Source organism: Homo sapiens, chromosome X, assembly GCF_000001405.40.
Source record: "Homo sapiens chromosome X, GRCh38.p14 Primary Assembly".
Taxonomy (NCBI): Eukaryota; Metazoa; Chordata; class Mammalia; order Primates; family Hominidae; genus Homo; species Homo sapiens.
The window spans coordinates 75,337,661-75,364,237 of NC_000023.11; the positions used below are offsets into that span (position 1 = coordinate 75,337,661).

Consider the following 26,577-nt stretch of genomic DNA (forward strand, 5'->3'; position numbering starts at 1 on the left):
AATGCCAGTTGCAGTAGTAATTATCTGGTCATGTGGACAGACTCAGGACCTCCTGGTTAGCCAGGATGCTGCAGGCAGTGGTCACAGCTGAGGTCACACACAAGTTTTTTCCTTTCTAGACACTGTTATTCTACCTGGAGATGCTGTAGTGGACTGTATTGGTTGGCCTCCAGCCAAGAGATAGCGATTGCAAGAGAGCACCAGCTGTGGTGGTAGTGGTGAGATTTGTGCTTGCTTTACATTACCCAGGGGAGGTACTTTGGTGTCTCAGGCAATGGTGGGACCATAGAGCTCCCAAAAGTTTCTGCGTTTTGTGTTAAGCTGGTGGAGGAGCAAAAGCAGGTGTGGGCTACATCAGACTGGTCTGTGCTCTGTCTTCCACATGCTGGGCAAGAAGTGGCCCTCACAGACTATGTAGACAAATTGGTACACTGTGGGTAAAAGTTCCAAGTATGCAAAACAATCTTATTAGTTAGAACATTCCAAGACCTCAATTTCCAGTAGCTGGACAAGGACCATTCATGACAATAGACCCTTCTGAAAATGTACAAGTTTGAGCAACTCAGACCTACTGAGTCAACTGTTTCCTGTACAGTCTACCTTCCTGGCCCTAGGCTCAGGCTCTCTTAAAGGAAAACTACTGTATTTTATAATAGATATATTAATAATATTAGCATGAGAATGTCCAACATTTGGAGGAGCTGGTGCAAGATATAGACTTGAAGAAACAATTAATTCACCGATAAAGCCATTGTATACATCTTCATATTTTCTTCATATTTTTGTAGTAATTTGATTGCTTCTTCCCTTGGTCTAATGATACTTGTGCTTTATGATAAACTTACCTATAGTTATTTAGCATATTAATTAGCTGGTGGTTAACTAGATCTAGTTCCTCAAGCCAATAATTTTTCACTGATATCAGATCCTGAGGAGGCTTTAATTAAATTTCACAATACATATAATTACCATTATTTGTATTATATGACTTATTAACATAAGGTAATAGAACCCTACCAGCAATGCTAATGTTATACCATATCGTGCAATGGCAGTAGTACAGTTCTGTTTCATTCCACAAGTCAGTAAGAGTTATTATACCTTACCCAACATAATTGGCTCTTGACCACTTAGCAGATGTTCTTAGGGACAGATGTCATCACAAGGGACCAGGATGCCTTTATTTCCAGGTTCCAAGTAAGATGGCAACTGATGGCTTTAACACAGACTGGGTGGCTTTAACAGCAGAAATTTATTTTCTCATAGTTCTGGAGGCTAGAAGTCCAATATTAAGGTGTTGACAGGCTTAGTGTCTTCTGAGATCTCTCTTTGGCTTGCAGGTACCCACCTTCTTGGTTGTCCTTACAGGATCTTTCCTCTGTGTATGTGACTCTGGTTTTTCTTTGTATATCCAAATTTTCTCTTCATATAAGGACACCAGTCAGATTGGATTAGGGCCCATCCTAAAAGGCTTCATTTTAACTAAATTGCCTCTTTAAAGGCCCTATTTCCAAATATAGTCACATTCTGAGGTACTAGGAGTTAGGGCTTCAACAGGAATTTTAGGCAGGGACACAATTCAGCCCATTAATATATGAAGACAAAACTAGTCATATTGTCATGATTTTACTGAAATGTTCCATTGTATACTGTTATGTACTATCTCTTTCTCATGGTAAGTCTGAGTGTAATTCACAATGGTTCCTATTTCTGTGAACTGCATTACAGGATACAACTTATTTTAAACCATTCTTGGAGTGAGGGCAGGCAGAGTATACCAATGTAAATTACTCTTAACCTACTAATTTGCTATCTTTATGAATTTGGCTATTCTGAACATTTGGTATAAATGGAATCAGGTAATATTTGATCTATTTCAGTTAATTTTCATGTATGATATAAGGAAAGAAGGTGACTTTACTCTTTTGCCTGTGGTTATTTAGTTGTCCCAGAACCAGTTGTTGAAAAGACCTTTCATTCTCCATTAAATTGTCTTGGCACCCTTGTCAAGAATCAGTTGTCCACAAATGTAAGGGTTTATTGCTGGATTCTCAATTCTATTTTATTGCTCTATGTATCTATTGTTATGCCAGTTTTGATTGCTGTAGTTTTGTAGTAAGTTTTTAAATCAGGGGCTGTGAGTCCTCCTGCTTAGTTTTTCTTTATCAGGATTGTTTTGGCTATTTGGGCCTTGAAATTCATTATTAATTTTAGGATTAACGTTTCAATTTCTACAAAATGGGTCATTTGAATTTTGATAGGGATTGCATTGAATCTGTAAGTCATTTTGGGTAGTATTGACATCTTAATAGTAAGTCTTTCAGTCTATAAACATGGAATGCCTTTTTATTTAGGTCTTTAATTTATTTCAATAATGTTTTGTAGTTTTCAGTGTACAAGCCTTGCACCTCCTTTGTTAAATTTATTCCTAAATATTTTCTTCTTTTTGATGCTATTGTAAATGGAATTGTTTTCTTCATTTAGTTTTGTTATTGCTAGTGTAGATGTAGCGTGGTTTTGTGTGTTGATTTTGTATCCTGGAACTTTGCTGAATTCATTTATTAGCTTTACCTATTTTTTTTAGGTGTGTGTATTCTTTAGGATTTTCCACATATAAGTTCATGTCATTAGCATATAGAGATAGTTTTACTTCTTCCTTTCCAATTTGGATGCTTTCTATTTCTTTTCTAATTGCTGTAGCTAGAACTTCCATTACAATGTTTAATAAAATTTGTGAAAGCAAACAGCCTTGTACTGTTACAGGTCTTAGAGAAAACAATTCAGACTCTCACCATTGAGTATCATTATAAAATGTACCTCTTCATCTCTATTAACATGTTTTGTTTAAAGCCTACTTTGGCTGATAATAGTATAGTCTCTCCAGTTTTCTTATGGTTTATCTTTATATGATATACATTTTTCCATCGTTTTACTTTCTATCCACTTTTATCTTTGAACCTAAAGTATCTCTCCTTAGATAAGATACAGTTGGATATTATTTCATCCATTCTTGCAATCTCTGACATTTTATTGGATTGCTTAATCCATTCACATTTAATATTATTATTAATATAGTTGGATTTGTGTCTGCAATTTTACTTTTTCTTTTCTGCATATGTTGTGCCTTTCTTGTTCCTCTGTTCCCTTTTGTCTACTTTCTTTTTCATTAAGTGAATATTTTATAATGTTAGAATTTATTCTATTTTTTACTACATTTTTTGTTAGTTTCTTATTCGTTACTTTAGACTCTCCCTATACATCTCAACTTACCAGAATCTGCTAAGTGGTCTATTAGAGATAGGAAAACCCAGTGTTTTTTCTACTCTCACACACTTAACACACATTTATGATACCAGATGTGTAGGAATTTCTGTCCACACACCAAGCAATCAGTTGTCCAGCATACACCAGCACACACATCAATTCAATTCAATTCTAACACTATCAATCTGGAGATAATGTCAGATCTCACAGGTTAAGTGCTCAGTCTCACAAGACTGCCTCTTACTTCACATGCCAGTGGCATACCCAAGTGGTTTTACCTGTGTTTATGACCAACCAGCTATATCATATTTTTTATACAAAATTTTAATTTGTAATTTTTGTGGGTACATAGTAGGTATATACATTTATGGGGTACATGAGATGTTTTGATATAGGTGTGATGCATAATAATCACATCATGGAGAATGGGGTATCCACCCCCTTAACCATTTATCTTTTGTGTTACAAACAATCCAATTATACTCTTTTAGATATTTAAAAATGTACACTAATTATTGACTATAGTCACCCTGTCGTGCTATCAAATAGTAGGCCTTATTCATTCTTTCCGACTATAATTTTAAACCCATTAAACATCATCAAATCCCCTCACCAGCCCCACTGCCTTTCCCAGCCTCTGCTAACTAACCTTTTACTCCCTATCTCCACGGTACAACTCTATTGATTTTAGATCCCACAAATAAGTGAGAACATACAAAGTTTGTCTTTCTGTGCCTGGCTCATTTAACTTAACATAATGACCCCCAGTTCCATCCATGTTGTTGCAAATGACTAGATCTCATTCATTTTCATGGCTTAATAGCAGTTCATTTTGTATATGTACTTTTCTTAACTTTTATTTTAAGTTCAGGGGTATACAAGGGTAGGTTTGTTACATAGGTAAACTTATGTCATAGGAATTTGTTGTACAGATTATTTCATCACCCAGGTATTAAGCCTAGTACCCATTAGTTATTTATCCTAATCCTCTCCTTCTTCCCACCCTCCACCTTCTGAAAGGCCCCAGTGTTTGTTGTTCCCCTCTACATGTCCACGTGTTCTCATCATTTAGCTCCCACTTAAAAGTGAGAACATGTGTTATTTGGTTTTCTATTCCTGTGTTAGTTTGCTAACGATAATGGCCTTTAGTTCCATCCACATCTCTGCAAAGGATATTATCTCATTATTTCTTATGGCTACATAGTATTCCATGGTGCATATGTACCACATTTTCTTAATTCTATTATTGATGGGCAGTTAGGTTGATTCCATGTCTTTGCTATTGTGAATAATGCTGCAATGAACATACACGTGCATGTGTCTTTATAATAGAATGATTTATATTCCTTTGGGTATATACCCAGTAATGGGATTGCTATGTTGAATGGTATTTTTGTCTTTAGGTCTTTGAGGAATCACCACACTGTCTTCCACAATTGCTGAAATAATTTACATTCCCACCAACGGTGTGTAAGCATTCCTTTTATGCCACAACCTTGCCAGCATCTGTTATATTCTGATATTTTAATAACAACCATTCTGACTGGTGTAAGATGGTATCTCATTGTAGTCTTGCTTTGCATTTCTCTAATGATCAATGATGTTGAGCTTTTTTTCTTTTTCTTTTTTTTTTTGAGACAGAGTCTTGCTGTCGCCCAGGCTGGAGTGCAGTGGTGTGATCTCTGCTCACTGCAGGCTCCGCGCCCCGGGTTCACGCCATTCTCCTGCCTCAGCCTCCTGAGTAGCTGGGACTACAGGCGCCCGCCACCTCACCCAGCTAATTTTTTGTATTTTTAGTGGAGACGGGGTTTCACCGTGTTAGCCAGGATGGTCTTGATCTCCTGACCTCGCGATCCGCCCGCCTTGGCCTCCCAAAGTGCTGGGATTACAGGCATGAGCCACCGTGCCCGGCCGCTTTTTTTCATATGATTTTTGGTTGGACGTATGTCTTCTTTTGAAAAGTGTCTGTTCATGTCCTTTGCCCACTTTTTAATGGGGTTGTTTGGTTTTTTCCTTGTAAATTTGTTTAAGTTCTTATAGACGCTGGATATTAGGCTTTTGTCAAATGCATAGTTTCAAAAAATTTTCTCCCATTCGGTTGTCTGTTTAGTCTGTTGATAGTTTCTTTTGCTGCACAGAAGCTCTTTAGTTTAATTAGATTTCATTTTTCTATCTTTGATTTTGTTGCAATTGCTTTTGGCATTTTCATCATGAAATCTTTGCCTGGGCATATGTCCTGAATGGTATTGCCTAGGTTGTTTTCTGGGATTTTATAGTTTTGGGTTTTACATTTAAGTCTTTAATCCATCTTGAGCTAATTTTTGTATGTGGTGTAAGGAAGGGGTCCAGTTTCAATCTTCTGCATATGTGTAGCCTGTTATCCCAGCACCATTTATTGAATAAGGAATGCTTTCCCCATTGCTTGTTTTTCTCAGGTTTCTCAAAGATCAGATAGTTGCAGGTGTGCAGTCTTATTTCTAGCTTCTGTATTCTGTTCCTTTGGTCTATGTGTCTGTTTTTGTACCAATACCATGCTATTTTGGTTACTGCAGCCCTGTAGTAGAGTTTAGGTTTGAGTAGCATGATGCCTCCAGCTTTGTTCTTTTTGCTTTGGATTGCCTTTGCTATTCTGGCTCCTTGTTGGTTTGATATGAATTTTAAAATAGTTTTCTCTAGTTCTGTTTAGAATGTCAATGGTAGTTTAATAGGTAGTTTAATAAGAATAACATTGAGTCTGTAAATTGCTTTGGGCAGCATGGCCATTTTAATGGTATTGATTCTTCCTGTCCATGAACATGAAATGATTTTCCATTTGTTTGTGTTATCTCTGATTTCTTTGAGCAGTGGTCGGTAGTTCTCCTTGTAGAGATATTTTACCTCCCTCATAAGCTGTATTCCTAGGTATTTTATTCTTTTTGTGGCAATTGTGAATGAGAGTTTGCTCCTGATTTGGCTCTTGGCTTTACTGTTGTTGGTGTATAAGAATGCTAGTGACTTTTGTACATTGATTTTGTATCCTGAGACTTTGCTGAAGTTGTTTATCAGCTTGAGAAGCTTTTGGGCTGAGACCATGGGGTTTTCTAGATATAGGATCATGTCATCTCCAAACAGAGATAGTTTGGCTTCCTCTATTTGTATTTGCATGTCTTTTATTTCTTTCTCTTGCTTGATTTTCCTGGCCAGAACTTTCTATGTTCTGCCTCTATGTTCTAATAGTATGTTAAATAGGAGTGATGAGAAAGGATATTTTGTAAAAATTCTACTTTAAGTTCCAGGATACATGTGCAGAATGTGCAGGTTTGATACATAGTTATACATGTGACATGGTGGTTTGCTGTACCTATCAACCTGTCATCTAGGTTTTAAGCCCCACATGCATTAGGTATTTGTGGTAATGCCCTCCCTCCACTTGTCCCCCAACCCCTGACAGGCCCCAGTGTGTGATGTTTCCCTCCCTGTGTCCATGTGTTCTCATTGTTCAACTCCCACTTATGAGTGAGAACATGTGGTGTTTGGTTTTTTGTTCCTGTGTTAGTTAGCTGAGAATGATGGCTTCCAGCTTCATCCATGTCCCTGCAAAGGACATGAGCTCATAGTATTCCATGGTGTATATGTTCCACATTTTCTTTATCCAGTCTATCATTGATGGGCATTTGTTTTGGTTCCAAGTCTTTGCTATTGTAAATAGTGCTGCAGTAAACATACAAGTGCATGTGTCTTTGTAGTAGAATGATTTATAATCCATTGGGTATATACTCAGTAATGGGATTGCTGGGTCAAATGGTATTTCTGGTTCTAGATCTTTGAGGAATCTCCACACTGTCTTCCACAATGGTTGAATTAATTTACATTCCCACCAACGGTGTAAAAGCAGAGAAAGGGCATTTTTGTCTTTTGCCCGTTTTCAAGGGGAAGGCTTCCAGCTTTTACCCATTTAGTATGATATTGGCTCTGGGTTTGTCATATGTGGCTCTTATTATTTTGAGGTATGTTTCATCAATACCTAGTTTATTGAGTTTTTAACGTGAAGGGGTGTTGAATTTTACTGAAAGCCTTTTCTGCATATATTAAGATAATAATGTGGTTTTTGTCATTAGTGCTCTTTATGAGATGAATTGCATTTATTGATTTGTGTATATTGAGCCAAACTTGCATCCCAGGGATGAAGCCTATTTGATTGTGGTGGATAAGCTTTTTGATGTGCTGCTGGATTGGGTTTGCCAATATTTTATTGAGGATTTTTGCATCAATGTTCTAGTATGTTGGCCTGAAGTTTTTTTGTTTTTGTCTGCCAGGTTTTGTTTTCAGGATGATGCTGACCTTATAGAATGAGTTAGGGACGAGTCCGTCCTCCTTAATTCTTTGGTATAGTTTCAGTAGGAATGGTACCAGCTCCTTTGTACATCTGGTAGAATTCAGCTGTGAATGTATCTGGTTCTGGGCTTTTTTTTCGGTTGGTATGCTACTACTGCCTCAATTTTAGAATTTGATATTGGTCTGATCAGGGATTTAATTTTTTGTTGGTTCAATCTTCAGAGGGTGTGCGTGTCCAGAAATTTATTTGTCTCTTCTAGGTTTGCTAGTTTGTGTGCATAGAGGTATTAATAATATTTTCTGATGGTTGTTTGTATTTCTGTGGGTTCAGTGGTAATATTCCCTTTTTCATTTCTGATTGTGTTTATTTGAATATTCTCTTTTCTTTTTGATTAGTCTGGCTCGATGTCTATCTATTTTATTGTTTTTTTCAGGAAACCAACTCCTGGCATTGTTGATCTTTTGAGTGGTTTTCCATGTCACTATCTCCTTCATTTCAGCTCTGATTTTGGTTATTTTTTATCTTCTGCTAGCTTCAGGGTTGATTTGTTTTTGCTTTTCTAGTTCAGTTGTGAATTAGGTTGTTAATTTAACATCTTTCTAGATTTTTGATGTAGACATTTAGTGCTATAAATTTCCCTCTTAACACTCCTTTATCTGTGTCCCAAAGTTTCAGGTATGTAGTATCTTTGTTCTTATTGGTTTCAGAGAACTTCTTAATTTTTGCCTTAATTTCACTATTTACCTAAAAGTCACTCAGGAGCAGGCTATTTAATTTCCATGTAATTGCATGGTTTTGAGTGAATTTATTAGTCTCGATATAAAATTTGATTGCTCTGTGGTTTGAGATACCACACATATTTCACATCTTTTGCATTTGCTGGGGAGTGTTTTGCTTCTGATAATGTGATCAGTTTTAGAGTAAGTGACATGTGGCATTGACACAAATGTATATTCTGTTGATTTGGCTGGAGCATTCTGTGTACGTGTGTGTGTGTATGTGTGTGTATATACATATACACACACAGAATGCTCCAGCCAAATATATATGTGTGTGTGTGTGTGTGTGTGTGTGTGTGTGTGTGTGTGTGTGTGTGTATATACATCAGATCCTTTTGATGCAGTGCTGAGTTCAGGTCCTGAATATCTTTGTTAATTTTCTCTCTCAATGATCTGTCTAATATTTTCAGTGGGTTGTTAAAGTCTCCCACTATTACTGTGTGGGAGTTTGGTATGGTTTGGCACTGTGTCCCCACAGAAATCTTATCTTGTAGTTCCCATAATTCCCACATGTTGTGGGAGGGACCCAGTGGGAGATAATTGAACCATATGGGTCTTTCTCATGCTGTTCTCATGATAGTGAATAAGTCTCATGAGATCTGATGGTTTTATAAACAGAAGTTTCCCTGCACAAGTTCTTTTTTTGCCTGCCATCATTCATGTAAGACATGACTTGCTCCTCCTTGCCTTCCACCATGATTGTTAGGCCTCTCCAGCCATGTGGAACTGTAAGTCCATTAAACCTCTTTTTCTTCCTAGTCTCAGGTATGTCTTTATCAGCAGCATGAAAACAGACTGATACAGCAAATTGGTACTAGTAGAGTGGGGCATTGCTGAAGATATCCAAAAATGTGGAAGTGACTTTGGAAGTGGGTAAGATGCAGAGGTTGGAACAGTTTGGAGGGCTCAGAAGAAGACAGGAAAATGTGGGAAAGTTTTGAACCCACTAGAGACTAGTTGAATGGCTTTGACAAAATGCTGATAATGATATGGACAATGAAATCCAGGCTGAGGTGGTCTCAGATGGAGATGAAGAATTTGTTGGGAACTGGAGCAAAGGTGACTCTTGTTATGTTTTAGCAAAGAGACTGGCAGCATTTTGCCCCTGCCCTAGAGATTTGTGGAGCTTTGAACTTGAAAGAGATGATTTAGTGTAGCTGGTGGAGAAATTTCTAAGCAGCAAAGCATTCAAGAGGTGACCTTAGTGCTGTTATAGGCATTCACTTTTAAACAGGAAACAGCATAACAGTTCAGAAAATTTGCAGCCTGACAATGTGATAGAAAAGAAAATCCCAGTTTCTGAGGAGAAATTCAGGCTGGCTTCAGAAATTTGCATAAGTAACGAGGAGCCAAATGTTAATCTCCAAGACAATGGGGAAAATGTCTCCAGGGCATGTCAGAGATCTTTGCAGTAGCCCCTCCCATCACAGGCCTGCAGGTTTACGAGGAAAAATTGGTTTCATGGGCCGGGCCCAGGGTCCCTCTGTTGTGTGCAATATAGGGACTTGATGCCCTGAATCCCAGCCACTCCAGCTGTGACTACAAGGGGCCAAGGGACAGTTTGGGCTGTTGCTTCAGAGGGTGGGAGCCCAAAGCCTTGGTAGCTTCCATGTGGTGTTGAGCCTGCAGGTACATAGAAGTCAAAAATTGAGGTTTGGGAACCTTCGCCTATATTTCAGAGGATGTATGAAAATGCCTGGATGCCCAGACAGAAGTTTGCTGCAGGGGTGGGGCCCTCATGGAGAATCTTTGCTAGGGCAGTGCAGAAGGGAAATGTGGGGTTGGAGCCCCCATGCAGAGTCCCTACTGGGGCACAAACATAGTGGAGCTGTGAGAAGAGGGCACCATCCTCCAGACCCCAGAATGGCAGATCCACCAATAGTTTGCACCTTGAACCTGGAAAAGCCACAGACACTCAATCCTGGCCTGTGAAAGCAGCCAGGAGGGCAGCTATACCCTGAAAGCCACAGGGGCAGAGCTGCCTAAGACAATGGGAACCCACCTTTTGCATCAGTGTAACCCAGATGCGAGACACTGAGTCAAAGGATACCATTTTGGAGCTTTAAGATTTGACTGCCCCACTGGATTTTGGACTTGCATGAGGCTTGTAGCCCCTTTGTTTTGGCCAATTTCTCCAATTTGGAGTGGCTGTACTTACCCAATGGCTGAACCCCTATTGTATCTAGGGAGTAACTAACTTGCTTTTGACTTTACAGGCTCATGGGCAGAAGGGACATACCTTTTCTCAGATGAGACTTTGTGGACATGTGTGTTAATGCTGAAATGACTTAGGACTTTGAGAGACTGTCAGGAAGGCAAGATTGGTTTTGGAATGTGAAGACATGAGATTTGGGAGGGGCCGGGGGCAGAATGATATGGTTTGGCTCTGTGTCCCCACCCAAATCTCATCTTGTAGCTCCCATAATTCTCTCTCTCTCTCTTTTTTAAAATTATACTTTAAGTTCTGGGATACATGTGCAGAACGTGCAGGTTTGTTACATAGGTATACACGTGCCATGGTGGTTTGCTGCACCCATTAACCCATCATCTACATTAAGTATTTCTCCTAATGCTATCCCTCTCCTAGCCTCCCACCCCCTGACAAACCCTGGTGTGTGATGTTCCCCTCCCTGTGTCAATGTGTTCTCATTGTTCAACCCCCAATTATGAGTGAGAACATGTGGTGTTTGGTTTTTTGTTCCTGTGTTAGTTTGCTGAGAATTATGGTTTCCAGCTTCATCTATGTCCCTGCAAAGGACATGAACTCATCCTTTTTGATGGCTGCATAGTATTCCATGGTGTATATATGCCACATTTTCTTTATCCAGTGTATGATTGATGGGTATTTGGGTTGGTTCCAAGTCTTTGCTATTGTGAACAGTGCTGCAATAAACATATGTGTGTATGTGTCTTTATAGTAGAATGATTTATAATCCTTTGGGTATATACCCAGTAATGGGATTGCTAGGTCAAATGGTATTTCTGGTTCTAGATCCTAGAGGAATCACCACACTGTCTTCCACAATGGTTGAACTAATTTACACTCCCACCACAGTGTAAAAGCATTCCTATTTCTCCACATCGTCTCCAGCATCTGTTGTTTCCTGACTTTTTAATGATTGCCATTCTAACTGGCATGAGATGTTATCTCATTGTGGTTTTGATTTGCATTTCTCTAGTGACCAGTGATGATGAACTCCTTTCCATATGTTTGGTGGCTCCATAAATGTCTTCTTTTGAGAAGTGTCTGTTCATATCCTTCACCCACTTTTTGATGGGGTTGTTTCTTCTTGTAAATTTGTTTTAGTTCTTTGTAGATTCTGGATATTGGCCCTTTGTCAGATGGATAGATTGCAAAAATTTTCTCCCATTCTGTAGGTTGCCTGTTCACTCTGATGATAGTTTCTTTTGCTGTGCAGAAGTGCTTTAGTTTAATTAGATCCCATTTGTCAGTTTTGGCTTCTGTTGCAATTGCTTTTGGTGTTTTAGTCATGAAATCTTTGCTCATGCCTATGTCCTGAATGGTATTGCCTAGGTTTTCTTCTAGGGTTTATATGGTTTTAGGTCTTATGGTTAAGTCTTTAATCCATCTTGAGTTAACTTTTGTATAAGGTGTAAGGAAGGGGTTCAGTTTCAGTTTTCTGTATATGGCTAGCCAGTATCCCCAACACCATTTGTTAAATAGGGAATCCTTTCCCCATTGCTTGTTTTTGTTAGGTTTGTCAAAGATCTGATGGTTGTAGATGTGTGGTGTTATTTCTGAAGTCCCTGTTCTGTTCCATTGGTCTATATATCTGTTTTGGTACCAGTACCATGCTGTTTTGGTTACCATAGCCTTGTAGTATAGTTTGAAGTCAGGTAGTGTGATGCCTCCAGCTTTGTTCTTTTTCTTAGGATTGTCTTGGCTATATGGGCTCTTTTTTTGGTTGCATATGAAATTTAAAGTAGTTATTTCTAATTATGTAAAGAAAGGCAATCGTAGCATGATGGGGATAACATTGAATCTGTAAATTACTTTGGGCAATATGACCATTTTCACGATATTGATTCTTCCTATCCATGAGCATGGAATGTTTTTCCATTTGTTTGTGTCGTCTCTTATTTCCTTGTGTAATGGTTTGTAGTTCTCTTTGAAGAGATCTTCACATCCCTTGTAAGTTGTATTTCTAGGTATTTTATTCTCTTTGTATCAATTGTCAATGGGAGTTCACTCTGATTTGGCTCTCTGTTATTGGTGTATAGAAATGCTTGTGATTTTTGCACACTCATTTTGTATTCTGAGACTTTCCTGAAGTTGCTTATCAGCTTAAGGAGATTTTGGGTTGAGATGATGGGGCTTTTAAAATATACAATCATGTCATCTGCAAAGAGAGAAAATTTGACTTTCTCTTTTCCTATTTGAATACCCTTTATTTCTTTCTCTTGCCTGATTGCCCTGGCCAGGATTTCCAATACTATGTTGAATAGGAGTGGTGAGAGAGGGCATCCTTGGCTAGTACTGCTTTTCAAAGTGAATGCTTCCAGCTTTTGCCCATTCACTATGATATTGGCTGTAGGTTTACCATAAGTAGCTCTTATTATTTTGAGATAAGTTTCATCAATAGCTACTTTATTGAGAGTTTTTAGCATGAAGGGGTGTTGAATTTTATCAAAGGCCTTTTCTGCATCTATTGAGATAATCATGTGGTTTTTGTCACTGGTTCTGTTTATGTGATGGAATACATTTATTGATTTGCTTATGTTGAACCAGCCTTGCATCCCAGGGATTATGCCAACTTGATCGTGGTGGATAAGCTTTTTGATGTGCTGCTGGATTCTGTTTGCCAGTATTTTATTGAGGATTTTTGCATCGATGTTCATCAGGGATATTGGCCTGAAATTTTCTTTTTTTGTTGTGTCTGTGCCTGGTTTTGGTATCAGAATGATGCTGGCCTCATAGAATGAGTTAGGGAGGAGTCCATCTTTTTCTATTGTTTGGAATAGTTTCAGAAGGAATAGTTCCAGCTCCTTTTTGTACCTTTGGTAGAATTCGTCTGTGAATCCATCTGGTCCTGGGCTTTTTTTGGTTGGTAGGTTCTTAATTACTGCCTCAATTTCAGAACTTGTTATTGGTATATTCAGGGATTCAACTTCTTCCTAGTTTAGTCTTGGGAGGGTGTATGTGTCCAGGAATTTTTCCATTTTTTCCTAGATTTTCTAGTTTATTTGTGTAGAGATGTTTATAGTGTTCTCTGATGGTAGTTTGTATTTCTGTGGGATCAGTGGTGATATCCTGTTTACCCTTTTTTTGTCTATTTTATTCATCTATCTTTTCTTCTATATTAGTCTGTCTAGCGTTCTATTTTGTTAACCTTTTCAAAAAATCGGCTCCTGGACTAATTGATTTTTTGAAGGGTTTTTCATGTCTCTATCTCCTTCAGTTCTGCTCTGATCTAAGTTATTTCTTGTCTTCTGCTATCTTTTGAATTTGTTTTCTCTTCCCTCTCTAGTTCTTTTCATTGTGATGTTCGTGTGTCAATTTTAGATCTTTTTTGCTTTCTCCTGTGGGCATTTAATGGTATATGTTTCCCTCTAAGCCCTGCTTTAGCTGTGTCCCAGAGATTCTGGTACGTCGTGTCTTTGTTCTCATTGGTTTCAAATAACTTATTTATTTCTGCCTTAATTTTGTTATGTACCCAGTAGTCATTCTGGAGCAGTTTGTTCAGTTTCCATGTAGTTGTGCAGCTTTGAGTTTATTTCTTAATCCTGAGTTCTAATTTGATTGCACTGTGGTCTGACAGACTGTTATGAGTTCTGTTCTTTTGTATTTGCTGGGGAGTGTTTGTTTCAGAAAGGCAGTCTTCAAGCTCTGATTTTCTTTCCTTCTATTGGTCTGTTGTGCTATTAATACTTGTGAGTACATTATGAAATTCTTGTAGTGTTTTTCAGCTATAACAGGACGGTTTTTTTTTGTTCTCTATACTGGCTGTTTTGTCTGTCAACTCCTGCAATGTTTATCATGATTTTTAGTTTCCTTTCATTGGGTTACAACATGCTCCTTTTGCCAGTGGACTTCATTCCTATCCATCGTCTGAAATCTACTTCTGTCATTAAAGCCATCTCAGCCTCAGCCCCGTTCCAAACCCTTGCTGGAGAGGTGATGTGGTAATTTGGAGGAAGGAGGGTACTCTGGGTTTCTGTTTTCAGTGTTCTTACACTGTTTTTTTCCTTCTCATCTTTGTGGGATTATCTACCTTCAGTCTTTGACGTTGCTAACCTTTGAATTGGTTTTTCTTTTAACAGTCTGACCACGTTTCTGTAGCTTTTATTGATCCACTTGTCATTCAAGAGCATATTTTTAAATTTCCATCTATTTGCGTAGTTTCCAAAATTCCTCGTTATTGATTTCTAATTTTCTTCCAGTGTCTTCAGAGAAGATGCTTGATATTATTTCAATGCTTTTGAATATTTTAAGACTTGTTTTGTGATTTAATATATCGTCTATTCTTGAGAATGATTAATGTGCTAAGGAAAAGATGTGTATTTTGTAGCCATTGGATGAAATGTTTTGTAAATGTCTATTAGAACCATTTGGTCTATAGTGTAGATGAAGTCTGATCTTTCTTTGTTGATTTTCTTTCTGGAAGACTTGTTCAATGCTGAAAGGATGTGTTGAAATGTCCAGCTATTTTCTTTTTATTGGGGTCTATCTCTCTCCTTAGCTGTAATAATGTTTGCTTTATATATCTGAGTGCTCCAGTGTTCGGCATATATATTTACAATTGTTATATTCTTTTGCCGAATTGACCCCTTTATCATTATATATTGACCTTCTTTGTTTCTTGTAGTTTTTGCCTTGAAATCTAGTTGGTTTGATAAAAACATAGTGACTCCTGCTCTTCTTTTTTTGTTACCATAGGCATAAAATATCCTTTTCCCTCCCTTTATTTTCAGTCTATGTGTGTCTTTATAGGTGAAGCATGTTTCTTGCAGGCATCAGATCACAGATCAATGTGTCTGTCTTTTTAATCCATTCAGCCTCTCTCTGTCTTTTTTGTTTTTTGAGATTGAGTCTTGCTCTGTCCCTCAGTCTGGAGTGCAGTGGTGAAGTCTTGGCTCACTGCAACCTCTGCCTCCCTGGTTCTAGTGATTCTCCTGCATCAGCCTCCTGAGTAGTTGGGACTATAGAGATGCATCACCACATTTGGCTAATTTTTGTATTTTTAGGGGTGACGGAGTTTCACCATTTTGGCTAGGCTGGTCTCAAACTCCTGAGATCAGGTGATCCACCTGCCTCAGCCTCCCAGTGTTAGGATTACAGGTGTGAGCCACCATGCCCAGCCCTATCTCTGCCTTTTGATTGGAGAGTTCAGTCCATTTACATTCAGTGTTATTATTGATAAGTAAGGATTTTCTCCTGCCATTTTGTTATTTGTTTTCTGGTTGTTTTGTTGTTTTCTTGTCTTGTCTTGTCTTTTATTTAGTGAAGGTGGTCTTCTCTGGTGATATGATTTATTTTCTTGCTTTTAACTTTTTATTGTATCTGTTGTGTTTTTTTGTTTTTTTGAAGTCATTAGGAGGCTTGCAAATACCATCTTACACGGGATTATTTTAAGTGGATAGCAATTTAACACTGTTTGCATAAATAAACAAAGAAGCAAAAAGGAGTCTAATAAAATCTCTATGCCTTAACTTTGTCCTCCTAATTTTTAAGCTTTTGTTGTTTCTATTTGTATTTTATTTTACTGCATATGTCTTGAAAAGTTGTTGTAGGTATTATTTTTGATTGGTTCATAATTTAGTCTTACTACTTAGGATAATAGTTTACACAAGACAGTTACAGTGTTATAATATTTTGTGTTTTTCTGTGTACTTATTATTACCAGTGAGTTTTGCACCTTCAGGTAATTACTTATTGCACATAAATGTTCTATTTTCTTATTGAAGTACTCCCTTCAGCATTTTTTGTAGGACACATCTGGTGATAATGAAATCCCTTTGCTTCAGAATGTACTAAGAATTATGAAAAAATAAAATAGAATAATTAAATAAAAATAAATATAAAAAGAAATCCCTAAGCTTTTGTTTGTCTGGGAAACTTTTTTCTCAGTCACGTTTGAAGGATATTTTCACCAGATATATTGTCCTTGGATAAAAGCTTTTTTATGCTTCAGCACTTTAAATATGTTATGCCACTCTCTTCTGGCCTGTAAGGTTTCCACTGAAAGGTCTGCTCCTCCTTTGTATGTTATTTGTTTCTTTTCTCATGCTGCTTTTAGTATCCTTTCTTTGTCCCCGATCTTTGGGAGTTTATTAAATGCCTTGAGGTAGTCTCCTTTGAGGTAAATATGTTTGGTCTTCTATAACCTTCTTATACTTTAATATTGATATATTTCTCTAGGTTAGGAAAGTTCTCTTTTATTATTTCTTTGAATAAACTTTCAACCCCCCCACCCACTTCCTCTTTAAGGCTAATAACACTTAGATTTGGCCTTTTTAGAGTATTTTCTACATCCTGTAGGTGTGCTTAATTATTTTTTACCCTTTTTTTTGGTCATTTCTGACCGTGTTTTCTTTTTTCCCTCTCTTTCTTTTCTTTTTTTTATAGAGTCTCACTCTGTCACCCAGGCTGGAGTGCAGTGGTGTGATCTTGGCTCCCTGCAACCTCCATCTCCTGGGTTCAAGTGATTCTCCTGCCTCAGCCTCCTGAGTAGCTGGGATTACAAGTGTCTGCCATCATGCCTGGCTAATTTTTTTTTTTTTTTTTTTTTTTTTTTTTTGTATTTTTAGTAGAGACAGGGCTTCACCGTGTTGGCCAGGCTGGTCTTAAACTTCTGACTTCAAGTGATCCTCTCACTTCAGCCTCCCAAAGTGCTGGGATTACAGATGTGAGCCACCATGCCTGGCCCTGACTGTATTTTCAAATAGCCTGTCTTCAAACTCATTAATTCTTTCTACTGCTTTATCAGTTTTGCTATTGAAAGACTTTGATGCATTCTTCAGTATTCCAATTGCATTTTTCACATCCATAATTTCTACTTGATTCATTTTAACTATTTCAATCTCTTTGTTAAATTTATTTGATAGAAGTCTGATTTCTTTGTGTTCTCCTGAATATCTTTGAGTTCCCTCAAAACAGGTATTTTGAATTCTCTGTCTGAAAGGTCATATATCTCTATTTTTTCTGGATTGCTCCCTGGTTATTTAGTTAATTCAGTGTAGTCATGTTTTCCTCGATTGTCTTGATACTTGTAGGTGTCTGCCTGTGTCTTGGTAGTGAAGAGTTAGATATTTATTTTAGTCTTTGCAGTCTGGCTTTGTTTGCACCTGTCCCTCTTCAGAAGGCTTTCCAGATAGTTGAAAGGACTCAGGAATTGTGATATAATTTAGTCCATTCCTAAACAACTGAGGGTCCTGGGAGTTTAAGCATGTCAATGCAGTCTTTTATTTCATTATTAACTGAAGAAAAATTGGTGCCCTTACAGATTTTTTAAGATTCTGAAATAAAAGAAGTCAGAAAGAACCAAGTCAGGACTGTAAGGTGGATGCCTAATGATTTCCCACTGAAACTCTCAAAAAATTCCCCTTGTTTGGTAAGAATGAGTGGGAGAATTGTTGTGGTGAAGAAGGATTTTCTGGTGATGATTTCCTGGGCATTTTTCTGCTAAATATTTGGCTAACCCTAAATACTCTAATAATAAACAGATATTATTGTGCTTTGGCCCTCCATAAAGTCAAGAAGCAAAATGCCTTGAGCAACCCAAAAAACTGTGTCCATGACCTTTGCTCTTGACTAGTCCACTTCGACCTCTTTGTTGCCATTGTTTTGATTGTGTTTGTCTTCAGGATAGTTCTGGTAAAGCCTCATTTTGCCTCCTGTTACAAGTCTTTGAAGCAATGCTTTAGGATGTTGATCTCACTTTTTTAAAATTTCCATTGAAAACTCTGCTCTTGTCTGCAGCTGATCTTGGTGCAATGGTTATGGCACTCATCAAATGTAAAGTTTGCTAAACTTTAATTTTTAGTCAGAAATGTGTATGCTGAAACAATTGAGATGTCTGTCATGTTGGCTATTGTTTCTGCTCCTCTCCAACTACAGCATGAACAAGATGAATTTTTGCTTCACAAATTGATGTGAATGGTCTGCTGCCATGGGCTTCATCTTCAATGTTGTATCGTCTCTTCTTAAAATGAGTTATTCATTTGCAAATATCTATTTTTTGGTGCCATTGTTCTCATAATCTTTTCATAAAGCATCAGTGATTTCACTATTCTTCCACTCAAGCTTCACTATAATATTGATATTTGTTCTTGTTTCAAATTTAGCAGACTTCATGTTGCTGTGATAGGGACTTATCTTTCTGAGTGCCTCAAGCTAAATCCTGTTCAGACATGTTATAACAGTATGGGTTTATTTTGGTGTAAAACATTTTTGAATGTTGTGGATAGTTTTATTATAATATGCATTTTCCATGAATTATTTGAAATTCCCTATTATATGGTGTAAAGTATGGGTTCAAGTTCATTCTTTTGTATGTGGAGATCCAGTTGTACCAGCACCAGCTATTGAAGAGACTTTTTTCCCATTGGTTGAACATGGCACCCTAGTAAAAAATTATTTGGCCATAGATATATGTGTTTATTTCAGGCTTCTTATTTCTGTTGCATTGTCTATGTGTCTGTCCTTATGCTAGTAGCACAGTGTTTTAATCACTGTAGTTTAGTTGAAGGGTTTGATACTGAGAAATGTGAATCTTAATTTGTTCTGCTTCTTCAAGATTATTTTGGCTATTTAGGGCCCCTTGCAGTTTCATATGAATTTGAAGATCAGCTTTTTTCATAAATGCAAAAATGCTATTGGAATATTGAAATCGTGTTGAATCTGTAAATCACTTTGGGTAATATTGACATCCTAACAATATTAAATATTTCCATCCATGAGCACCGGATATCTCTGTTTATTTAGGTTTTCTTTAATTTCTTTCAACAAGATTTTGTAGTTTTCAGTGTGTAAATCTTTTACTTCATTAGTTAAATTTATTTCTAGGTATTCTTTATTGTAAATAAAATTGCTTTCTTAACTTCCTGTGTATTTATCTTATACCCTATAGCTTTGTGAAATTTATTTATTAGCTATTATTTCCTTCTTTTTCATTTTTATTTTTTGAGACAGAATCACTCTGTCACCCAGGCTGGAGTGCAGTGGTATGATCATAGCCTTGAACTCCTGGGTGTTTATGTGATGCTCCTGCCTAAGCCTCCGAAGTAGCTGGGACTTTAGCCACACACCGCCATGCACAGCTAATTAAAAAAAAAAATTCTTTTTTTGTAGAGATGGGGTCTTGCTATGTTTCCCAAGCTGGTCTTGAATTGGCCTCAAGTGATCTTTCTGCCTTGGCCTCCCAACGTGCTGGGATTACAGGCATGAGCCAACACTTCTGGCTCTAGTTGCTTTCTTGTGGAATCCTTCGGATTTTCTTCATATAGGAACATATCATCTGTGAATAGTTTCACTTCACTATCTGTGATAGTATTGCTTCTTCCTTTGTAATTTGGATGACTTTTATTTCTTTTTTGTCTAATTTCTATGGCTAGAATTTCCAGTATAGTGTTGAATAGCAGTGGTGAAATAGGGAATCCTGTGCCTAATCTTACGGGAAAAACTGTCAGTCTTTCATTAAGTATGAGGTTAGTTGTGAGTTTTTCATAAATGTACTTTATGTTTAGGAAGTTTCCTTCCATTCCTAATGTTTTGAGTGTTATCATGAAAGTTGTTGGGGCACTGGTATTCTTAGCCTGTCTTGCCTTGGGTAGAACCCTCCCCTGTGGTTGTGGGCTGGTGAATGAAGAATCTCAAAGTTCTAAGTCGCTCCTGCCCAGGATAGAGCTTCTGTCATGTGGAACTAGAGAGGGGTAAAAAATGTTGGTGGCCTGCCACTCCAGAGCAAATACTGAAGTCTTCACTGGTAAGAAGTAGGGAGAAGGGAGTCTGTGTTTTTGGCTGCACCCACTTGGAGTAGAGCTTGGATCAGGCTGAGCTGGTGGAGCGGAGGGAAAATGGAGGGAGCAGGCTGTGTTTCAAGTGCTAGAGTCTCACTGTTCATAGTGAGATTTGATAGATTTTCTTGAATCATTGTTTCATTTGCTATGTGCTCTTAAGACAATTTTCAGAGACTTAAAACGTTTACTTTAAAAATATTGTTTTACCAGTTATGATGCTTTTGCTGGGGGGAGTACCTGTGGAGTTCCTTACACCACCATTCTAGAACTAATCTCCTTTGGCCATTATTTCTTCCAAATATTTTTCTGCCCCCTTTTCTTGAGGACTACAGTTACACTTATATCAAACAGCTTGAGGATGTGCCACAGCTCACTGATTATCAGTTCTGTTTGTCTTTTTTTCTGTTTAATTTTAGGTAGCTTCTAAACTATTTAAACTTGCTATGTGATGAAGCACTAAATTATTTTTCTGCAGTGTCTAATCACCTGTTAATACCATCTGGCATGTTTTTTCACCTCTGTCTTTTTTTAATCCTTCATCTTCCTCCTTAACACACTTATATCTTCTTCTACCTTTTTGAACATATGGAAATATGGAATATTGATATAATAACTGTTTTAATACTTTTTCTTTACTTTTCTACAAATTCCATTGTCCCTATTACTTCTGGGTCTGATTTTACTGATTTACTTTTCTTTTCTTCATTGGTTGTATTTTACTGCTCCTTTGAATGCCTGGTAATTTTTTATTGTATGCCAGATAGTGTGAAATTTATCACTTTGGGTGCTAGATATGTTTGTTATAATTAACATTGAGTTTTGTTCTGAGATGTAGTGAAGTTACTTGTGAACAATTTGATCCTTATAAGATTTGTTTCTAAGCTTTTCTGGGCAGGTTTAGAACGCTCTTTAGCTTAGGCATAAAATTTCCCTACTACTCACTACATAAAACCCTTGTGAATTTTCTAGCCCCTTGTCCATGTATTACCAGGTTTTTACCCTCTGGTGGAGGTTAAAATGAACTGTTTCTGGCACTGTATGAGGTACAGAGGTTGTTTCCCATACTGCTTTTGGGTGGTTCTTTAGGGACCCTACTTTTGAGAGCCACTGCCATGTAGTATTAATTAACACACAATTAAAAGAGCTATTAAAACTTCCAGCATGCACCTTCCAAGATCCAATAAATAACAGAGGGTTTCAGAGTAAAAATGAACATAATGCTTATAATATAAAATTTTCTTTGAAAACCCATTTCTGACATTTAAAAACCAATGGCAATGTTACTAAAAATAACACTGTCATGAGCTAAATACGCCAACATCTATCATCTTAAGGCTCCTTTAATGTGATGAAATACATTTGGTCCCTTGTTGTTTGAAGAGAGGACTTTATATAGTACCTGTTGTGTACATAGCCCATCTCTCTGATATCCTTAGCAACGGCTATACTGCTGCTCATCTAACTGCTCCAAAGCCTCAGGTAATGGAGTGGAAGATTGTGGAAATAACAAATTATGAAAATATAATAAACTCAGTAATAGAATTTGCATTAATTGGTAACTTGTAGCCCAGTTTCATCATGTAGCACAGGGTCACATTCGAGTGCACTTATTTGATTTGATGATTCTATAAAGATGGGACACAATGTAAGGTAGAAATTATCAACTAAGTTAAGTAAGTTATGTAATTTCAGAGTCGTTTAAAACACTCTGAAATTGTAAAATTATGTGTGCACATGTGCGTTTGTGTATGTGTGCCTGCACATGCTTGTATTTTTATGTGGAGAGTGTCCATAGCTTTTTTCAGATTCCAAAAGCAGTGCATTACCAAAATAATGTTTTAGGCAACCTCAAATGAGTTCAGGCACTCTCCCTTTCTCTCCTTTTCTACTATCTTCCCTATCTTTCTTGTTAACAGTGTTAACAAAGATGATAGCCTATGGCAGTGACAATTATTATGAAGAAGTAGAATTAAAATGTAGATTGTGCAACACGAGAGAGACTCCATATTATATACAGTTTTCAATTTAGAAACTGGGACTGTAGTGTCTACACCCCTTGTAAATAGCCACATAGACGCAAACTGGTTTCTGATTACTTTGGCTGAACTGAGGTTGTCCAAAACTTACAGGTGAATAAAGAGTAGAAACCTTATAAGTTCATGACAAATGAAAGTATTTAAAAATAATGTTCAGTAATAGGTGCACCAGGTGGTTCTGTTAAGATAGTCAGAGTGAAGCAATGGTAGAAATGCATGTCTGAAGTTGTTTCTTGGTTATTATTCAGCTAATAAGGTAGACATAGAAGAGGTAAATTAATTTTACCCTCAACAAAACCATAATTTTTATAGATTGAAAATGCGTAAGTAGAAAATAGAAGGCCTCAAAGTTTAGGGGAAATGACAATCAAGTGGAAAGTGGGTTAAAAATGTTACTGTTTCCCGCCGGGCGCGGTGGCTCACGCCTGTAATCCCAGCACTTTGGGAGGCCGAGGCGGGCGGATCACGAGGTCAGGAGATCGAGACCATCCTGGCTAACACGGTGAAACCCCGTCTCTACTAAAAATACAAAAAATTAGCCGGGCGTGGTAGCGGGCGCCTGTAGTCCCAGCTACTCGGGAGGCTGAGGCAGGAGAATGGCGTGAACCCGGGAGGCGGAGCTTGCAGTGAGCCGAGATCGCGCCACTGCACTCCAGCCTGGGCGACAGAGCGAGACTCCGTCTCAAAAAAAAAAAAAAAAAAAAAAAAAATGTTACTGTTTCCTATCTCATCTTGCTTTATTTCCCCAGTATTCCCCTTTGATCTTTTATATTTTACAGGACCTTCAATATTCAGAATGTGGTAGCCTTGCCACACACACACAGACTTTTTGTGATTCAGAGGTAGCTTCAGATTTGCATTTGTATTGGGTTCGTCTGAACCACATTATTCTAATAAGTGTTTTCTAATTGCCCAGGGTAATTTATGCATAGCATGAAAGTGGATTGGTAAGTATAACCTAATCATAATTTTTGACTAATTATTACTACATTCTTTAATGTTCCAATAACAAAACTTTTGCTTTGCCTGTGTAGTGAATTGTGTTTTATTTTCATTGACCTTCTTATATTCTATATCCAGATTTATTTTAGAGTTTGCCAACATTGTCAGGATCTGGGTCTGAGACTATGCTAATGTGCAAAATTGATATGAGTACTTCAGTTAAAGTTTATGAGAAAATTTTTTTTCAAAACCATAAACATTCAGATTCTTTCTTTCAAAAATGTTTGCTTAAAATGTACTTTTTGTTGTCACAATTATTTTACCCCTCTAGATTTGGAAGTCTAAACACTGACATATTTTGCTACTGTGCAAAAATGAATATTGTAATATTAAAAGAGAAACTAATTGTTCAGTATCATTGCACATAGTGAGAATATTAGATTTGAAAAATATTGCTTATAATGTAAAGAAAATGCACATCAATATATTTGCACATTCCTATATAAGACATTATACATATACTTTTATTTATATCTATAAATTAAAGTTTCCTTTTAGACATTTATGCCTTAAATTTCCTCAGTAACCTTTACTTAAATGAGATTCTTGTACAGAAGTTTCCTCTTTTATGCCTTTCTTAAATCTAGAAAGATATCAGTTGTCATTTTGTCAGAGGCATTTGAACCAGAGCGACTCCATCTTGAATAGGGGCTGGGTGGAAGGAGACTGAGACCTACTGGACTGCATTCCCAGGTGGTTGGCATTCTAAGTCACAGGATGAGTAGGACATCAGCACAAGATACAGGTCACAGAGACCTTACAAAAGAGCATGTGGTAAAGAAGCTGGCCAAATTCCACCAAAACTAAGATGGCAATGAAAGTGACCTGGTCATTCTTGTTATATGCTAATTATAATGATTAGCATGCTAAAAGACACTCCCACCAGTGCCTTGACAGGTTATAAATGCCATGGCAACACCAGGAAGTTACCTTGTATGGCTTAACAAGGGGAGGAATCCTCAGTCCTGGGAATTGCCCACTCCTTTCCTGGAAAGCTTATGAATAATTCACCCCTTGTTTAGCATGTCATCAGGAAATGACCATAAAAGTGGCCAGTCAGCAGCTCTTGGGTCTGCTCTGCCTATGGAGTAGCCATTCTTTTGTTTCTTTACTTCTCTAATAAACTTGCTTTCACTTTATGGATTCACTTTCAATTTTTATTTGTGTGAGATCCAAGACCCCTCTCTTGTGGTCTGGATTGGGGCCCCTTTTCAGTAACATCTTCTTGGTAACCATGAAAGGATGATACTGAGGAGACCCCCGACCCAAAGGAAATATACTGCAACACCAATTGGTGACTTTGGGTAAGTGGGGTGCATTTTACCTGGGTAAAGGGTGGGATTGGGTTAGAGGCCCAATTTAGGGGAGTTAGACTCTCTCCTAAGATGGAGTGGGTTAAAGGACCCTCTTAGGAAAAAGGCAAGCATGCTTAAACCAACTTGTGTTCGAGACCAAACTTACGAAGATTAGTCCTTCCTAAGATTTAGGGGGTTAGAGATCCTGCTCAGGAAAGTCCTTCTCAAATAAAAATGGATTTGGCATTATGGAATGTTAACCACTATTCGCTTTGGATTACTCTGTCTTGCACTCTTTGCTAATGGCTATGGGTGACAGGGTTGGCTATGTACATGATCTTGGGACATGGGAAGCTTTTATCTCCCCAAAAGGGGAAACTTGAGAGCTGATGGGACTGCTGGAAAAGATCCCTTTGCCACTGACAAGTGGCCGCCTGAACTTTTGATTCCATGTCGCTGCAATGGGTAGGTGTTTCTCTGACCTCCCTGAGCTCTTTTCACCTTCCCCACTCTGCCACAGGCAATACTTTTTTCTCTGTCTCTTTCTCTTCTTTCCCTTTCCTATATTTTCTGTTACTCAGGGTGACCATCTTGCCCAAAGACTATATGTTAACTTCTGGTTGTTTGTTGAATTAAAGATGACAGGGCCAATCTGGGGGCAAGTTTGAGCTTTGCCAGTTCGACATTGGGTGCTAAGCAGAGTGGCTGCTGTAGCAAATCTTGTGTACTTTGTGCTATAAATTTGTCTTTCTGTATTACTCTGTCATAAAGAGGAATACCTTAGGATAGAACACAGGCTTAGGCCTCCATAAACCTGCTGTTCAAGACAGTCCAGCAAACTGATCAGTTATCCACTTTGCTGCGGGTCCCTGTTGGGGAAAAATTGGATGAAGTTTCCTTTTACTCTTGTTTTATGTCCTTGGGAGCTTGACCTTGTAGCCACATGGTGGTACTTTCTCTTGGTCTCTGCCATCCAGCAGACAGAAATTTTTGGGTGCCTGTCATAACTAGCTATAAAAATTATCTTGAGCAGTTAACAACCATTGCAAGCTCAAAATTGGCTGCTCTAGGCTCCTTCTGGGAAGGGCAATGGAAACTGCCCAATGCTGTAGCTTAGTAACTAAGGCTTTGTCTTTTCACAATGGTGGCCTGGGTTCAGGGTTCAATACTGGCTTAGGGAATGAGTCCTTTCTCATTTGATATCTGTGTAACCTTTATCATTTGTTGATTATCTTCCCCTCCATGGACCATTTTGAATTTTCCTTTCTCTGAGCACCTGGGAGGTTGCCTTTGGTAAGTTTAAAAGCCAGAAATATTGGCCGTTTGGCCTGGCAAAAGTTGGGTAATAAGAAAATTTTAAAACTTTTTTTTAAAGTGCTATATATAAAAGTCTGCTTATTCAAGTTCTAATAGCCTGGGACTCCTTGGGAAAACAGAAGAGGTGCCACAGTCCCCGTTTTGGGAAAATCCTCTGTTTTCATCATGCAACCCCAGGAATTAAAAGCAAATAGATCCCTCTCAAAATCTAAGACTCTGTTGTATTTTGTGTTGCATTATCTGACATTTTTTACTTTTGGGGGTATCAGAAGTTACTTTACATTATGAGAGAGCTTTGGTGTGTAATAACTAGGTAGGAAATATAGTTTTGGAGATAGCTAATGAAAGTTATGGGGGGATACTCAGCTCCTTGCACGTTTGGATCAAAGTAGTATGCTCTTGGCCACCCAGAAGGTATAGAGATGTTCCCCTGCCCACGAGAGTTAAACCTCCCATGGGGGATGGGCTAATCAAAGAATAGGCTAATTGGCTTTGGATTGATTTGCAAAAAAATACATGATAAAATCATTGCATTGTCTTTTTCTGCAGCATTTCTCTTTTGGGGATCCAGTATAAAAATGGGACCCTTA

The 26,577-nt window shown here is 37.9% G+C and overlaps 1 pseudogene; it reads right to left on the reverse strand.

Moving 5' to 3' along the window:
- The window catches only part of TERF1P7 (TERF1 pseudogene 7), a 32,777-nt pseudogene extending 10,982 nt beyond the window's left edge, over positions 1-21,795 (reverse strand).
- Positions 21,796-26,577: the final 4,782 nt, after the last annotated feature.